The sequence below is a fragment of the Homo sapiens genome, chromosome X (assembly GCF_000001405.40).
Source record: "Homo sapiens chromosome X, GRCh38.p14 Primary Assembly".
In the NCBI taxonomy this organism is placed as follows: Eukaryota; Metazoa; Chordata; class Mammalia; order Primates; family Hominidae; genus Homo; species Homo sapiens.
The window spans coordinates 69,154,543-69,170,646 of record NC_000023.11 but is presented as its reverse complement, the minus strand read 5'-3'; the positions used below and the strand labels follow the sequence as shown (position 1 = coordinate 69,170,646).

The following is a 16,104-nucleotide window of genomic DNA, read 5'->3' as shown; positions in this document are numbered from 1 at the left end:
ATGGATTTTAAAAACAAGATTTAACTATATGTTATCTACATGAAACCAACTTTCTAAAGACAAACTAAAAGTAAAGGGATTCAGAAATATATACCATACTAACAGTAATCAAAAGAAAGCCAGAGTAGCTATGTTAATTGCAGACACAGCAGATTTCAGAACAAAGAAAATTATTAGGGATAAATAGGGGTGTTATGTAATGAAAGAGGAGTCAGTTCTCCAAGAAGACACAACAATCTTTAATGTGTGTGTGCCTAACAACAGAGCATCAAAATACATGAGTCAAAAACTGATAGGACTTCAAGAAAAAATAGATGAATCCACAATTATAGTTGGAGACTTCAACACCACTCAATCAGTAATTGACAGATCCAGCAGGCAGAAAATCAGTAAAGATATAGTTGAACTGAATAGCACCATCAATCAACTGGATCTAATTGACATTTATAGACAACTTCATCCAACAAAAGCAGAATACACATTCTTTTCAAGCTCACATTGAACATTCACCAAGATTGACTACATCCTGGGCCATGAAACATGCCTCAACAAATTTAAAAGAATAGACATTATACAAAGTATGCTTTCAGACCACAATGAAATTGAATTAGGAATCAATAGAAGAATGGTAGCTGGAAAATCACATAATATTTGGGGATTAAACAATATACTTCTAAAGAAAACATGGGTTAGAGAAGAAGTGTCAAGATAAATTTTAAAATATTTTGAGATAAATTACCAAAATTTGTGGGATGCAGCAAAAGTGGTGCTTAGAGGGAAATTTGTAGCATTGAATGCATACATTAGAAAATAAGAAATACCTTAAATAAATCATCTAAGCTTCCATCTTAGGAAACTAGAAAATAAAACAGCAAATTCAGCCCAAAGTAAGCAGAAAAAAATGCAATAAAAATTAAAACAGGAATCAATGAAATTGAAAACAGAACAATAGTAGAGAAAAAGCAATACAATCAAAAGCTGGTTCTTTGAAAAGGTCAACAAGATTGAGAAGCTTGTAGCCAGACTGACCCAGAAAAAAAGAGAGTAAACAAAATTACTCATATCAGAAATTAGAGAGGAGCCATTGCTACTGACCTCATGGACATTAAAAGGATAATAAAAAGTATTATGAACAACTCTATGGCCACAAATTTGATTACTTAGATAAAATGAACAAATTCCATGGCTTGTTTTTAATGAATAGGATATGGCAAAAGTGATGAGATCTCACTTCTGAGATTAAGTTATAAAAAGACTGCATCTTTCCTCTTGGGATCTCTCTCTCTCTCTCTCTCTCTCTTTCTCTCTCTCCAGCTACCATGCTGTGAGGAGACTTAGGAAGCCTACGGATAGGTCCACACGACAAGGAATCAAAGTCTGACAACAGCCACATGAGTTAGCTTAGAAATGGGTCTTCTTTGGCCTGTCAACAACCATGTAAAAGAGCTTGGAAGTGGACCTCTTACCCTACTTGAGCCTTCAAATGAGACTGCAACCCTAGATGAGAGCTTGGGTGCAACCTCGTAAGAAAGTTTGAGTCAGAGGCACCTAACTAAGCCATGCCTGGATTCCAGACCCATAGAAACTGATATGATAAATGTTTGTTGTTTTTAGCTGCTATGTTTTAGGGAAATTTGTTACACAGCAATAGATACCTACTACATACTCTTTGACCAAGAAATTCTACTTCAATGTTTCCATACTAGAGCAATTTATTTCAATCCTTTTCACATCAGAACATATATTTAAAATGCTATCAGCTCACTGGAATAAACAGACAGTGTGCTCTTGGCCAGAGGCAACAGTCTCTAGGGGCAGCTGCTGAAGCCAAAGCTACCTTCCTGGAGAGCTAAGGGGATCAATATATCAGAACACTTATAACTCAGTTGGGAAGCTCTGCCCTGAAGAAACTCTTCTATGTAGGCACAAGGAGCCATGCACTAGGATGTTCATTGAATCCTCACTTATAATTGCACAAAACAGAAACAGTAGGAAAAGAGATAAATTGGATAACTTATGCAAAAGAAGTCCATACAATAATATGTTATAGTAATGTATTGGATAATTGATACAGTAATATTCAGCAGTTAAAATGCATGACTCAGATCTACAGGTATCAAAATTGCTGAGTTTCAAAAAACAACAGAGTGAAAATCTAAGTTGCAAAAGTATATATTTATAATGATACCATCTGTATAATTTAAATACATGAAACAAAATTGTGTATTGGTCACAGATATATATATGTAAATATATATTATATATCTGTATATATATGTATACATACACTTATATGCACATATACATATATACACATATATACATACATATATATACACACACATATATATATATATATATATATATATACACATACACACACACACAAACATGAACAAGACGACAGCACATCAACTTCCAAATAAGGCTTATTTTCAAGAGAGAGGTCAAGTGAATAGGATGAAGTGAGGGCTTCATCTGTACTATTTTGTTTCAAAAACAGAAGGATCTGAGGATCTGGAGAAAATAAAATTTGCTCAATCCATGTGACAGGTGCATTAAAATGTGTATTTTATACTCTACTTTTCTGTATAGTTGACATATTTAAAAATATTTTTATAAAGAAAATGTATCCTCTCTTGAGTCCAAAAATACATATACAAGCTGGGCACAGTGGCTCACGCTTGTAACTCCAGCACTTTGGGATACCGATGCAGGTGGATTGCTTGAGATCAGGAATTCGAGACCAGCCTGGTCAACATGGTGAAACCCCATTTCCACTAAAAAATACAAAAACTAGCTGGGTGTGGTGGTGCACACCTGCAGTCCCAGCAACTCAGGAGGCTGAGGCAGGAGATTGCTTGAACTCGGGAGGTGGAGGTTGCAGTGAGCCAAGATTTTACCACTGTACTCCAGCCTGGATGACAGAGCAAGACTCTGTCTCAAAAAAACAAAAATACATATACATTCGGTATATTGTACTGTCCCATTTCCTCATATCGTTATTTATTTTGCAGTCTATTTGATTTATCTATACCATAAGAAATGAGGTGAAGTTTCCCACTATAATTGCAGACTTCCTGATCTCTCTTTATATTTCTAACAGTATTTGCTTTATATATTTTGAAACTACATTGTTTGGCACATAAATTTTTGTGACTATCATATGTTTTTTTTTAAAATGCACTGTTCTGCAACATGCTTTTTTCACTTAATATATTTATATTAGACCAGTACATATATACATATATACTTGCCTTCTTTCTTTCTTTCTTTTTTTTTTTTTTTTTTTTGAGACAGGGTCTGACTATTGCCCAGGCTGGATCACAGTGGCGCAATCTTGGCTCACTGCAGCCTCAACCTCCTGGGCTCAAGTGATTCTCCCACCTCAGCCTCCCAAGTAGCTGGGACTACAGGCACGTACCATTGCGCCAGGGAAATTTTTACGTTTTTTTTGTAGAGATGGGGTTTCACCATATTGTCCAGGCTGGTCTCAACTCCTGGGCTCAAGCAATCCTCCTGCCTTGGTCTCCCAAAGTGCTGCGATTACAGGTGTCAACCACCATGTCTGTACATGAGCCACCATGCAACATGTTTAAATAAATTTAAACAATTTATTTGTTGAGGAGAATTAAAGTTGTTTGCATTATCTTGCTACACTCCTATTCACATATCTTTCTCCATTTGTGTGTCTCAATAGAACACACAATAGAGCAATTGACTAGAAGTAGAATTGCTAGATGAAAATGTATCTCCATTAAAAAATTTGATAGTTTCAGATTTCTCACCAATGAAGTTCTATTATTGTTATTATTATCATCATCATTTTGAGATGGCATCTTGCTTGGTTGTCCAGGCTGGAGTGCAGTGGCGTGATCTTCACTCACTTCAGCCTCAACCTCCTGGGCTCACACAATCCTCCTGCTTCAGCCTCCTAAGTAGTTGGGACTACAGGCACACACCACCAGCTTGTCATATCTTTCTCAGTGAATAAAGCAACCTGTTTTGTTCTCTTTAGTTCTTTTTACTTTGAGTTCTCGATGTTTAGGATATTGATATTGTTACGAGTTTGTTTCCTCCTTCCTTTCCTTCCTTTTTTTTTTTTTTGCTTCTTTCCTTCCCTCATTCCCTCTCTCCCTTTTTTCTGCTAGTATTTTACTCTCATATATTTTTTATTCCTATTTCTGCTTTAGGTGAAACTCACATAAATAGAATATAACTTAGCTTTTAAAAACAAAATGCTCAAAATAAGAGTTTGGTTTTTATTAGGAGATGTTAACCCATAATGCATGCTGATATATTTGGATTCCTGCATTTTTGTTTTCTTTTTGCATCCTTTTTTTTGTACCCCCCCAGCAACATTTCTTGACCTTTGTTAAGAATGAGTTTTTCTCTTTGTTCCACATATTATTACTTTAATGGTTTGAAAGTTATACATTTTATTTCTATTATGTTGTTACCCCTAAGATTTTTGTTCTATTATGCATTTTGTTTCCAGTAAGAACAAAACTTTGCTACTGTTGTGAACATGGGAAATGTTTACATTGGCTGTAAATACTAGAGTTCCATTATAAAGCGCAATTTAAAGACTTCAGAATTCAGTAAAATGGTATAAATCCAAAAGGCGTAACTACAATATTTTTAACTGCAATGCAATAACAGAATATGAACCTGTGTTGTGTCCTATGATCTCTTGGACAGAGAAGCTTGGTTTTGTGATTAGCAGCAACAAATTCAACATAAACAGCTTCAATTTGCTTTAACCATCAGGTTAAAAAAAATTTAAGCTTACTGCAACCCTAAATATGGTTTCACAGTTTTAATACTTTCGGTACAACCATAACACGTAACATAGGATGTGATGTAGTAACGTAATTACTCTCACATTGGACTTAATCAGAAAGAATTTGCAGATTTTATTTTATTTATTAAAAAACCAGAAGGCAATATAGCTAAATGTTTAACATTAGTTAAAGCTGGGTGTTTGTGACATTTTTCGCTGTCCTTTTCTGTATCCTTGACGATTTCATCATTTAAGATGAAATAATGCTTTCGGGCCCACCCTGATTTGTGGAGAGCAGCTGCCGCCCCCGCCACATCAAGGAGGCGGGCTCCAGCTGACTTCACAATCACTTCCGCCGCCGCAGTCGCCGCCCGCCCCGCTGCTGTCTGGCGGGGGAGGAGCTCGGGACCGGGAGCAGCGGCTCTGGCGGTCGTGGCGGTCGGAGATCCGAGAGCTCTGCTTCTCTGAAAAGCGTGTGGCTTTCTGGACTTGGTGAGTGAAAGGCTGATTGTTTCCTCGATTCATCCGGGCGCTGGCGGTGGCGCGAGTGGCCGGGCGCGGGGCGAGTGGCCGGGCACGGGGGCGAGGATTTTGGGGGGTTCCTGGGAACTGCTTTTCAGGTTCGCCCCTCGGGAAGGGGTGGGGCGGACGCGGGACCTGACTGCAGAGTGAGGCCCATGTCCTCCATCGGCCTGTTCTGGGGCCACATCTTCCGCTGCCGGAACCCCTTTGGTGTGGCGCGGTCCCCACTCGAGTGGCTTTCATCGCTATTGGGAGGGCAGTGGTGGTCGCGGCCCTCTCCCACTTCTCCCTGCCTCTCCTCCCCTCTCCTTCCTTCTTCCCTCCTCGGCCCCTTTGCGGAGCACTCCGTGGCCTTTCTTCCCATATTTTGCTGTTGTTTTGCCAAATGGTAAATGGTTAAGATTTTTAGGTAAAAATACTGTTCCCAGGGAAAAAATTGGAAGGAAAAAATAATTATTCTCAGGGAAAACTAGACCCACGCACGCCCTTTTCTTTCATTTTCCCTCTCCCCTGCCACATCGGTTGGGGTCTCCCGTTTGAGCTGATGGCCTTTTCCCACCTCTTTTTATGACATTGCGTCCCCCCTACCCCCCACCCCCCGTGTGTCGCGAGCACGCGCCCCCGCACAGAAGCCTTCCATTGCAGCCCCCTCCTTGCCCCTCCATCCTCAAGGTTCCAGTGCTTCCCCTCCCCCGCGCATGCGCAGGCACACGCAGCACACACCCTCTCACACACCCTCACACCCTCACACCCTCCCATGCCTTCCCCCTCCTCTATCCGCCTACCACATACACACCTCTAGCACCGGCCCCCTCCCTGCTCGGCCTCTGCGTGCTCTCGCGAACACATGCCTATTCACACACCCCCTCCGGCTGCCCTCCTTCTTCCTTCCTGTCATATACACACATAAGGACATCCTTCTATCGCTGGCCAGTGACATACATATGTAGCCACATGTGCTCATTCATACCCCCTTCTCAAATGCTCTCCTCTATTGCTCTGTCTGCCACGTGTGTCAGACACAGCTCTCTTTTGCTGGTCCCTGAGGTGCACACACTCGCACTCACATAAATCCTTCTACGGGGACACAACCTGCCTCCCTGCTTGCCATATCCACACAGGCAGGCATCATTCTTTGATTGCCTGCCTCTGTTCCATCCACCTCAAGCACATCCCTCTCCAGTGCTGCGCACCCCCCACCCCCGCTTCCATTTGTGCCTGCTGCATTTGCTCACACTGACATTTCTCCATTGTTGCCTCCCATTTTGACTAACATACACACACACAAACTCTCAGACACTCCTCTCCATTGCCAACCATACACTCCTCTGCCTGTGACATACGCATAAACATGGGCATCCTTCTGTAGTTTCAGCTGCCTCACATACAGCTACACACACAAACACCTTCCCTTTCCTCATACATACACGCACCCCTCTCCTCCAAAGCCACCCCACCCATGCCTGTCATTTTCATACCCACATCCAGAATGGGTCTCATTCTAACACTCATACCCTTTCCCCCTACAAACGTAAACATCCCTCTGTTGCAGGATTACTGGTCCCCTTCCACCTGTCCCTCTCCTCTTGATAGACAGACACATAGGCACTCGTGCACACACGGCGATCTGTATTTTCCACTCTATTCCAATTTGCATTTCTCCTGTATGTCTGCAGCACTCAGAAAAATGCAGACACCCCATAAAAAAAACTATAGCAGTCTTTCCTTTCCCCACGTTGCACAATTCCACAGTACTTCACCCACCTTCCAAGCGTCCAGTCACCCCCCAACCTTCCGTCAGATTCTCCTCTAAGTCTGGCTTTCCTGCAAACCCAGTCTTGTAATCATTTTGCCAACATTAAAAATGTGTTCCAGGTCTACACCTGACAGTCACTGGAATGCTACTCCAGGCCTTAGAAGAAAGTGAAACTAATTTTAAAGGCCCCTTATTCTTTCTGTTACCTGCCTGCTGAAGTGAAAATAAATCTCCCTGCTCCTTTATTCTAAACTGATTTTACTTTCCCATCTCAAAAACGTGTGCAGGGAGCAGGAGCCCTCCTACCCGAGCCCCAGCTGTATTGGAAACCCTCCTAAGTCAGAGTGATGGGTCAGGAATCTAGCAAGCCTGTATGGCCCAATCCAACAGGAGGGTATCAGTCCAATACAGGTAGGAGGTATGGAAGAAGGCATGCTTATGTCAGTTTCAGGCCACCCACGAGCCAGCGGGAAAGGATTGCCAGCCAGAGAAAGACGAACTCCGAAGTCCCAATGCACAGATCAGCCCCCAGTCAAACCACCAAGAGGAGCCGATCGCCATTTTCCACTACTCGTCGTAGTTGGGACGACAGCGAGAGTTCGGGAACCAACCTGAATATTGATAATGAGGACTATTCCAGGTATCCGCCAAGAGAGTACAGAGCTTCGGGTAGCAGAAGAGGAATGGCCTATGGACATATTGACTCTTATGGGGCAGATGATAGTGAGGAGGAGGGGGCTGGGCCTGTTGAGCGACCGCCAGTGAGAGGGAAAACTGGCAAGTTTAAAGATGATAAGCTGTATGACCCAGAGAAAGGGGCAAGGTCTTTGGCTGGGCCACCTCCACATTTCTCTAGTTTTAGCCGTGATGTGAGAGAGGAGCGAGACAAGTTAGACCCAGTCCCTGCAGCAAGATGCTCAGCTAGCAGAGCTGACTTCCTGCCACAAAGTAGTGTGGCCTCACAGTCGTCTTCTGAAGGCAAGCTGGCTACAAAAGGTGACAGCTCGGAGAGGGAGAGAAGGGAGCAAAATTTACCTGCACGTCCCAGCAGGGCTCCTGTGAGTATTTGTGGTGGTGGGGAAAACACCTCAAAGAGTGCAGAGGAACCTGTGGTCAGGCCCAAAATCAGAAACCTGGCAAGTCCAAACTGCGTGAAACCAAAAATTTTTTTTGATACTGATGATGATGACGATATGCCACACAGTACTTCCAGGTGGAGGGATACCGCCAATGACAATGAGGGCCACTCGGATGGCCTGGCAAGAAGAGGGAGAGGCGAGAGTTCAAGTGGCTATCCCGAGCCAAAGTACCCTGAAGACAAACGGGAAGCGAGGAGTGACCAAGTGAAACCAGAAAAGGTGCCGAGACGACGACGCACCATGGCCGACCCTGACTTCTGGACGCACAGTGATGATTACTACAAATACTGCGACGAAGACTCTGACAGTGACAAAGAGTGGATTGCTGCTCTGCGTCGGAAATATCGAAGCCGAGAGCAAACCCTGTCCTCCAGTGGCGAAAGCTGGGAGACTCTGCCGGGGAAAGAAGAGCGGGAACCTCCACAGGCTAAGGTGAGTGCCAGCACTGGCACCAGCCCTGGCCCCGGTGCTAGTGCCAGTGCCGGGGCTGGCGCCGGGGCCAGTGCTGGCAGCAATGGCAGCAATTACCTTGAAGAAGTTCGAGAACCATCTCTTCAGGAAGAGCAGGCATCCCTGGAAGAAGGAGAAATTCCTTGGCTCCAGTACCATGAGAATGACAGTAGCAGTGAGGGGGATAATGATTCTGGTCACGAGTTGATGCAACCTGGGGTATTCATGCTGGATGGAAACAACAACCTTGAAGATGACTCCAGTGTGAGCGAAGACCTAGAAGTGGATTGGAGCCTCTTTGATGGATTTGCAGATGGGTTAGGAGTGGCTGAAGCCATTTCCTATGTGGACCCTCAGTTCCTCACCTACATGGCACTTGAAGAACGCCTGGCCCAGGCAATGGAAACTGCCCTTGCGCACTTGGAGTCTCTCGCAGTGGATGTAGAGGTGGCCAATCCACCAGCAAGCAAGGAGAGCATTGACGCTCTTCCCGAGATCCTGGTCACTGAAGATCATGGCGCAGTTGGTCAGGAGATGTGCTGCCCCATCTGCTGTAGCGAATATGTGAAGGGGGAGGTGGCAACTGAGCTGCCGTGCCACCACTATTTCCACAAGCCGTGTGTGTCCATCTGGCTTCAGAAGTCAGGCACCTGCCCCGTGTGCCGCTGCATGTTCCCTCCCCCACTCTAAAGACCAAGGCCGTTTACTCCTGGTCTGATTATTTTCCCCATCTGAAATCCACAATACTGCAGGAGCCCTCTTGAAATTAACAATGGAAATAAAACCAATCAGTCAGTTAGCCTAAACCTATTGATTCCTCGTGATTATTTCCAATGTGAAAACAGTTGTGTATGATTGCATTAAAAATCATATCATCTTTTAGAGGTTAGAAAAGGGAAAACTAAACTTTCTAAATGCTACTTGAGATTGCAGTAAGAAGATACGTTTTCTAACCTGAAAGTTAAATCGCATTTGTTTTCTTCAGTAGAATGGGAATGTGTTGCTGTTACTTGTAATGTCAAGTTTATCTGTTAAATATGTCCAAAAGGCAAAATCATTTTTGTTGCATGTTATGGGTCGATGTTCCTGTAATTGCAGTGCCGTAAAAGCTTATTAAAGTTGTTCTTTTGGTTTTACATGGTATAATGGAATTTTTTGGTTTTGTCTGAAGCAGTGGTACTGAATGACTTTATAATTGATCCCTTGCATTTGCATCAAAAGCTTTAGTTTCACTGGAAATGCTGACTTCAACAATTGCAAAAAAAAAAAAAAAAAATGAAGGTAGTGACTTTAAAAGTAGGAATAAAGTGTATGGTTGTCCAACTACTGCAGGGGAAAAGGTCAAATAGATGAAGAAGGAAGAAAAGAAAGAAGGAAAGAAAGAAACAATAAGAAAGCATGGTAAAGAAACAAAACAATGGTAGGATTAAGTCCAAACTGAATGTAGGGATGAATGAGTTAAAATCACCTTTGAGAAAATAGTAACTCTTAGAGGGAATGGGTCCAAAAAAATAAAGCTATATGCCAATTTTATAGCTTAACACAGTGACACAGATAGGAATTGAAAAAATATGCCACACAAGTGCTACAGGAAAATACAGGTACTCACCTACACAGAGTGAACAGGTTTTAACATTCGGCTGTATTTGCTTCAGAGATGTCTCTGTCTGTCTGTCTGTCTGTCTGTCTCTCTCTCTCTCCCCCTCGCCACCCCTCTCTTCTCTCTCTCTCCAATAAATAAATTTTTTTAGGCACAGGTAAAGTTCCTCAGCCCATAATATTTACCTTCTTTCTTACACAGAGGTAAGCACTACCCAGAAAATGGTGTGTTTACTTCTTGTCTATGTCTTTAGACATATATATGAGTGTGTGTTTGTATGTATATGTGTATATAAATATTCACAATCAAAGAGTATTAATGTTTTTTAAATGGATATAACCGATAGACTGTATATATCATTTTGCAACTTGAATTTTAGATTCAACAGTGTTTTGGAGACAGCCATTTCGATACATATGGATCTAGTTCATGCAGTTTAACTGCTGTATACAAAATATTTAATTGTATGAATTACCACACCTTATTTATCCATTTCCCTACTGGTGAACACTTAGGTTCTTCCCAGCATTTTGCGGCAATGAACATACTAAACAGATGTGCTTTTGTGCACATGTGTGAAGTTCTCTAGAGGTAAGTATATGGAAGTGAAATTTCTGGGTCCTAGGGTTTGAGCATCTTCACCCCAACTAGATATTGCCAAATTGCTTTCCAAAGTCATTGTACTTGTTCATGCTCCTACTAACAGTTTCTGAGTGCTATTTCTGCACATCTCCAACAGGCTGGATGTTGTTCATGTTCAACCTGACTCATAATCGGTGACATGTAATTTAACACACCAATGAAACATATTACATCTATCAGAAGCCAATAGCTTTTCTTCGTGATAATATCTAGTTTGGGCTAGGAAGAGATGAAATGAGAAGACTCATGGGGTTGGTGTGCATATAAACTATAGCAGTCTTTTTGGAGAACGGTTTGGGTAGTAGCTATCTATCAACATATTCAAATGGTGCATGTCCTTCAGCCCAACCTGGGTTCCTTGCTAGTATGGAATTAAAACTATGCAGCAGTTAAAAGTTGGATGTACTGACATGAAAAGATCTCCAAGACAGTGTTAAGTAAAGAAAGCATAGTGTAGAGCAACATGTACAGTGTTTGTGTAAAATAAAGCCTTACAAAACCAAACTTTATATGAAAATGCTTAAGAATGTCTGGAAGGCGACATGCCTAACTGATGGCCGGGGTTACTTCTAGGGAGGGACGGAGGATTGGGGGAAAGCAGTCAGGAAGGAGGCTTTTGTTTTTCACTTGAAATAATGAATTTGCTTCATATTGTTTACAGTGTCAGTGCATTTTCATGAATATTATTACAACAAAATAAGCAAAATCAAAAATTTTTCCAATTTAGAAAAAGCAAGATGTCATTCTTCTTCTCTCACTGCAAGTACAGAAACGTGGGTTGAAACTGCAGCTCTTTTTTCTGCAACTGGTCAAGCTGATATTTATGACTTCATCCCTCACAAGTCATTCTAGGTTTCCCCTTGGCCTTCAGCCAGCACCTCAGCTGGTTATGGAGGCTCAGGAGTCTGAGTCCTTGGAGAGCCCTTTTAGGGTGGGGTTTTGGAGGTTTGCCATTAACCTTTGCTGTGCTCCGACGGGCACCACCTAAGGAGGTATTTTAGGAGCACGATTGGGTCCTAATCATCTTCCTTTCTGTTGCTATTGCATAGCAGCGACCCTAATTTGCCTTTTAGTCAGAATTAATCTCTGCACAGAAAGGGACACTTACCCGGTGCTCAAAGCCCCCTGCTGGTGTGTTGGAGCAACCTGCTACTGCAGTGTCTTGTGGACTTGAGGCGTGCTCTACCAGGAAAGCCCACAGGCCCCAAGACCTGTACTCCTGGGGCCCTGAGCAGCTGCGACTTGGACCTGGGATGTCAACTAAGCCCATCATACACTCGTGCCCAGTACTTTAAGGCTGGAGGGAGAAAGTCAGAGAAGTGGGGGTCCTGAATCATTTGTCCCCGTGCTGCTGTGGTGATTATGTTGGTGGCAGCAGGGGCGGCAGCAGTGGTGGTATGGGGCGGCAGTGATGTGGGTTCCGTGCTGACAGTGCTGGCGGCCAATAGCTCCTATGGCAGGATGTGGCTGTGTCCTTGGCTGCCCAGTTCCCTTGCTCCTGCCAGTTTCTGATTCTCCAGCCTCTCTGACAATTCCCCAAGCTCCTCTATAGCTTTCCAATAAAACTTTTCTGATTCAATTAACTAGCATTGGTTTCTGTTGTTTGTTAACTAGGAACCCCAAGTGGCACACTTGCCAACCCCGTAGCCCACTTTTGTGATTGTTTTCCTCATCATATGAGATATTCCACATGGCCAAGGGTCAGGCAATTTCTGTTTATGATGCAGTGGACCTGTCATTGGCACCCGGGGCCATGGTTTTAGAACAGCAGGCCTCAGGGGCCTCCAGACATGAAGCAGTCATTTATGAGAGTAAGTTGTTTGGATATTCATTGAAGGTATCACACACTGCAATTTACTTCTGGGTTTCTGGTCTTGTTTTCTGGCTGTGAAATAAAAAGCCCCAGATTTGGTCAATCATTTGAGGCATAAAGCACTACATCTTGCAAGAGAGTACTGTAACTTCCTGAGGTGGTCTCCCCAGCTGGCACTACAGCTGAACCATTAGAAGGCTCTTACTGTGCCCTAAGGCCCTACCCTTCTCTTAGCCCTTTGTTTCAGTGAAACCCTTCCATGGAAGTGCCTAAGGACCTCTGACCCGAAATGTCCTTTCCAGCTCTGTTTAAATTTTATTCATCCTTTAAAAAGTTCATCTGTGGCCGGGCGCGGTGGCTTAAGCCTGTAATCCCAGCACTTTGGGAGGCCGAGGTGGACTGATCACGAGGTCAGGGGTTTGAGACCAGCCTGACCAATGTGGTGAAACCCCGTCTCTACTAAAAATACAAAAATTAGCTGGGCGTGGTGGTGGGGAGCCTGTAGTCCCAGCTACTCGGGAGGCTGAGGCAGGAGAATGGCTTGAACCCGGGAGGTGGAGGTTGCAGTGAGCCGAGATCGCACCACTGCACTCCAGCCTGGGCAACAGAGCAAGACTCCATGTCAAAAACAAAACGAAAACAACAACAACAACAAAAAAAAAAAACCTAATTTGCCAGCTCCTGAAAAGAAAAATTCAATATCCCCTAGCCCCTTTCCTCTCTGTGTCTCCCATCTCTAAGTTCTTGAGATCAAAAGCTATTTGTGAGCCATTTCTACAGTCCTGGCATGCACTGCTTGGCACAAAAGTGTTCAGCAACACTTGGTGACAAGGTGAATAGATTCCTCTCCCAAGGTAGGCTCAGGCAGGGGCTGTGTTCAGAGAACCCAGTAGGAGTCATGGGGGCTTGGACCAAGCTTAGCCCCACTCCCACCCCCAGCCTCTGAAGGCCCTGGCGCCCCCTTCCCCTCCTGCCACCCTCTCAACCCTCAACCTCTATCCCATTTTCTGTTTGTCCTGTGGAATCCCCAGTGTGTCAGAGGCTGTTCTCATGCCCAAGGCCTGTGGAGAGAAGGTGGCGTTTATCTGAAGATGGAGAAATACATGGCAACAAGTCTCAGCACACCCCTCTTTGGCCCGGATTGAACCTCTGAAAAACATGAAGCTGATAGGGTGTTTGCCGACATGGTCCCAGCCTTGCTCAAGGTCTGGCGTGGAGCAAGCCAGGTTCTGGGACCCCTGGGCAACCCTTTCAGCCTGCCTTGGCATTTGCCTCTGCAGCCTGGAGCTTAGTAGCTAGGCCCATTGCTGTGGGTTTTGCTGATCCCTGGAGGTCCCCCTTCCTCCTGTTTCCTCCCTGTGTACTTCACTATCCCAAGAAGGGTGGTAAAACATTAGTGAGACTTCACAGTCTCTCACATTTGGATAAGATTTCCCCAGACCCCTTTGCATTCACTGATTTCACTGGACCCTGCCATCAACCCCAGGTGAGTGGTAAGGAGACCAACGTTCAGAAAGGTGATGGCATTTTGAAGACAGAGCAAGAGCGTGTTTGCTCGGTGGGGGAGGGCAACAGAGATGTTTTCTCCCCATCCATCCTAGTCCCACTGTGGTGGGGAGCATGCGGGGATCTGGATGTCAGTGTAGAAGCCCCAACTGGCTGCAGCTAGACCCCATTCAGGCACTCTGGTTGTAAGCACTCTGTGCCACTTGCCTCCAAGCAGAGCACTGTGGGACCAGGGCAAGAGCAGCTCAGGGGCACACAGACAATAGAAGTCAGGCACTTCAGTAGGAGAAAGAGGAGAAACAAGACACATACATAGAAGAATTCTTCCACGGGAACTGAGGACTAGGAGACAGTGTCTACCCATAGTCAGAGGTGTGTCACTAAAGCAGGGCCTGGGGGCCAGCCTGAAGGGAATCAGGGACTGGGCCACCAAACACATGGAGACAGATCTGCAGGGACCCAGGGAACTAAGCCCAAGGCTCTGCTCAGTCAGGATCATGCTCACATTGCATTCAGCAAACACATTTCTGCCCACTCTTGCACTCAAAGATGGAGATTCAGAGCTGGCTAGTTTAGTTCAACAAATATTGATTGAGCTTCTGCCTGTGGTGTGTTCAGTTGGGGCCTGCAAGAGATGAGTAGGGCTTAGTCCTTCCCTCAAAAAGCTGACAGTCTAGTGTGGGAGACAGACAAACATAGGTTTGCCATATTCTTTGTGAAAGGCAATGTGGAGGCAGGCATAGGGTGACCTGAGAGCAAAGAGCCTGGCTGGCCCAGCTGGGAGGGGGCTGGGCCTCAGAAGCACCAAACAGGTAAGGAAAGGGAGTGTAGGATGGGCCCTTTCTACGTTGTCTTTGTGGGGTTGTCTTTAACGGTGGGGGTGTCAATTGTTACCATTTGTTTGAAGGGCCCTTTAGTAAAATGTATTAACATTTAAAATCCACATACTTTCTGACCCAGCAATTCCAGTAGTAGGAATTTATGCTACATGTGCAAAAGCACAAGGTTGTTTTTACAAGTATCTTTATTGTTGCATTGTTTGTAGTAGCAAGAGACAGAAAGGCATTTAAATATCCATTACTAGGGGCCCGGTTTAATAAATTATGGCACAGCCATCAGATACTTCGCTAGACAGCCTGTACCCAGCATGAGGCACATCCACAGTTATTGCCGTGCAACAGTATCAAAAAATCAAGAAGTTACAAAAGCAAGGTGTCCAACAGTGGGCAGTTATTATCATTCATGGTTCACAAAAGATACATTTTCATTTGTACTAACCAATATACAGAATATCTCAGGAAAGATGATATATAAGAAACAGGGGCCAAGGTGAGGGACAAGAGGAGCCTCGCTTCTCAGTGTATGCTCTTTTTCTCTTTTGGAGTTTTTGTTATGTTAATTTGATTGTTTTTATTTTTGTTTGTTTTCTTTCTTTCTTTTCTTTTTTTTTTTTTTTTTTTTTTTACCATGTGCATACATGACAGAGACAGAGAAAGAGGGAGGGAGGGAGAAAAAAGGGCAGAAATCTCAGGCAAAGGGGCCTGAATGAACGAAGGCCTGGAGGTATGAAACAGTACCGTGTGTGTGTGTGTGTGTGTGTGTGTGTGTGTGTGTGTGTGTGTGTGTTGTGCATGTGAGACCCTGAGTTAAAGAAAGACCCTCCCACGTGACATCTAGTAATGTAGTAATGAACTGGGGAGTCTATTGTCAGGATATAAATGGGAAAACGCCAGTCGAGACTTTCAGCTACAAGGCCAGGCCCCCGGTGGGGAACCAGAAATTTTGGCTCCAGCAGGTCTCCAAGAGAGAAGAACTGCAGTTGAGCTGGCCTCATGAAGATATGATGTGGGGGCTGGAAGGTGGCCCAGCACTCAAAGCAGGTCCACCATGATC

General features: G+C 44.1%; 1 protein-coding gene across 5 annotated transcripts, besides 1 other annotated feature; it reads left to right on the top strand.

The window, feature by feature from the left end:
- PJA1 (praja ring finger ubiquitin ligase 1) lies at positions 5,194–9,901 on the top strand. Of its 5 annotated transcripts, NM_022368.5 has the most exons (3): positions 5,194–5,275; positions 7,181–7,701; positions 8,266–9,901. In NM_022368.5, exons 2-3 carry the CDS (start codon positions 7,409–7,411, stop codon positions 9,338–9,340), a joined length of 1,368 nt encoding a protein of 455 aa, NP_071763.2. In that variant the 5' UTR covers positions 5,194–5,275; positions 7,181–7,408; the 3' UTR covers positions 9,341–9,901. The 5 variants fall into 5 exon arrangements, with proteins under 5 accessions (NP_071763.2, NP_660095.1, NP_001369705.1 ...); NM_145119.4 differs by having other exon boundaries at positions 7,181–9,901; NM_001382776.1 differs by having other exon boundaries at positions 7,513–9,786.
- Positions 11,726–12,225: an enhancer, noted in NCBI's record as "H3K4me1 hESC enhancer chrX:68378265-68378764 (GRCh37/hg19 assembly coordinates)". NCBI's record gives its function as "activates a minimal SCP1, AML or CMV promoter by ChIP-STARR-seq in primed H9 embryonic stem cells {active_cell/tissue: H9 hESC(primed)}" and the evidence as "EXISTENCE:reporter gene assay evidence [ECO:0000049][PMID:30033119]".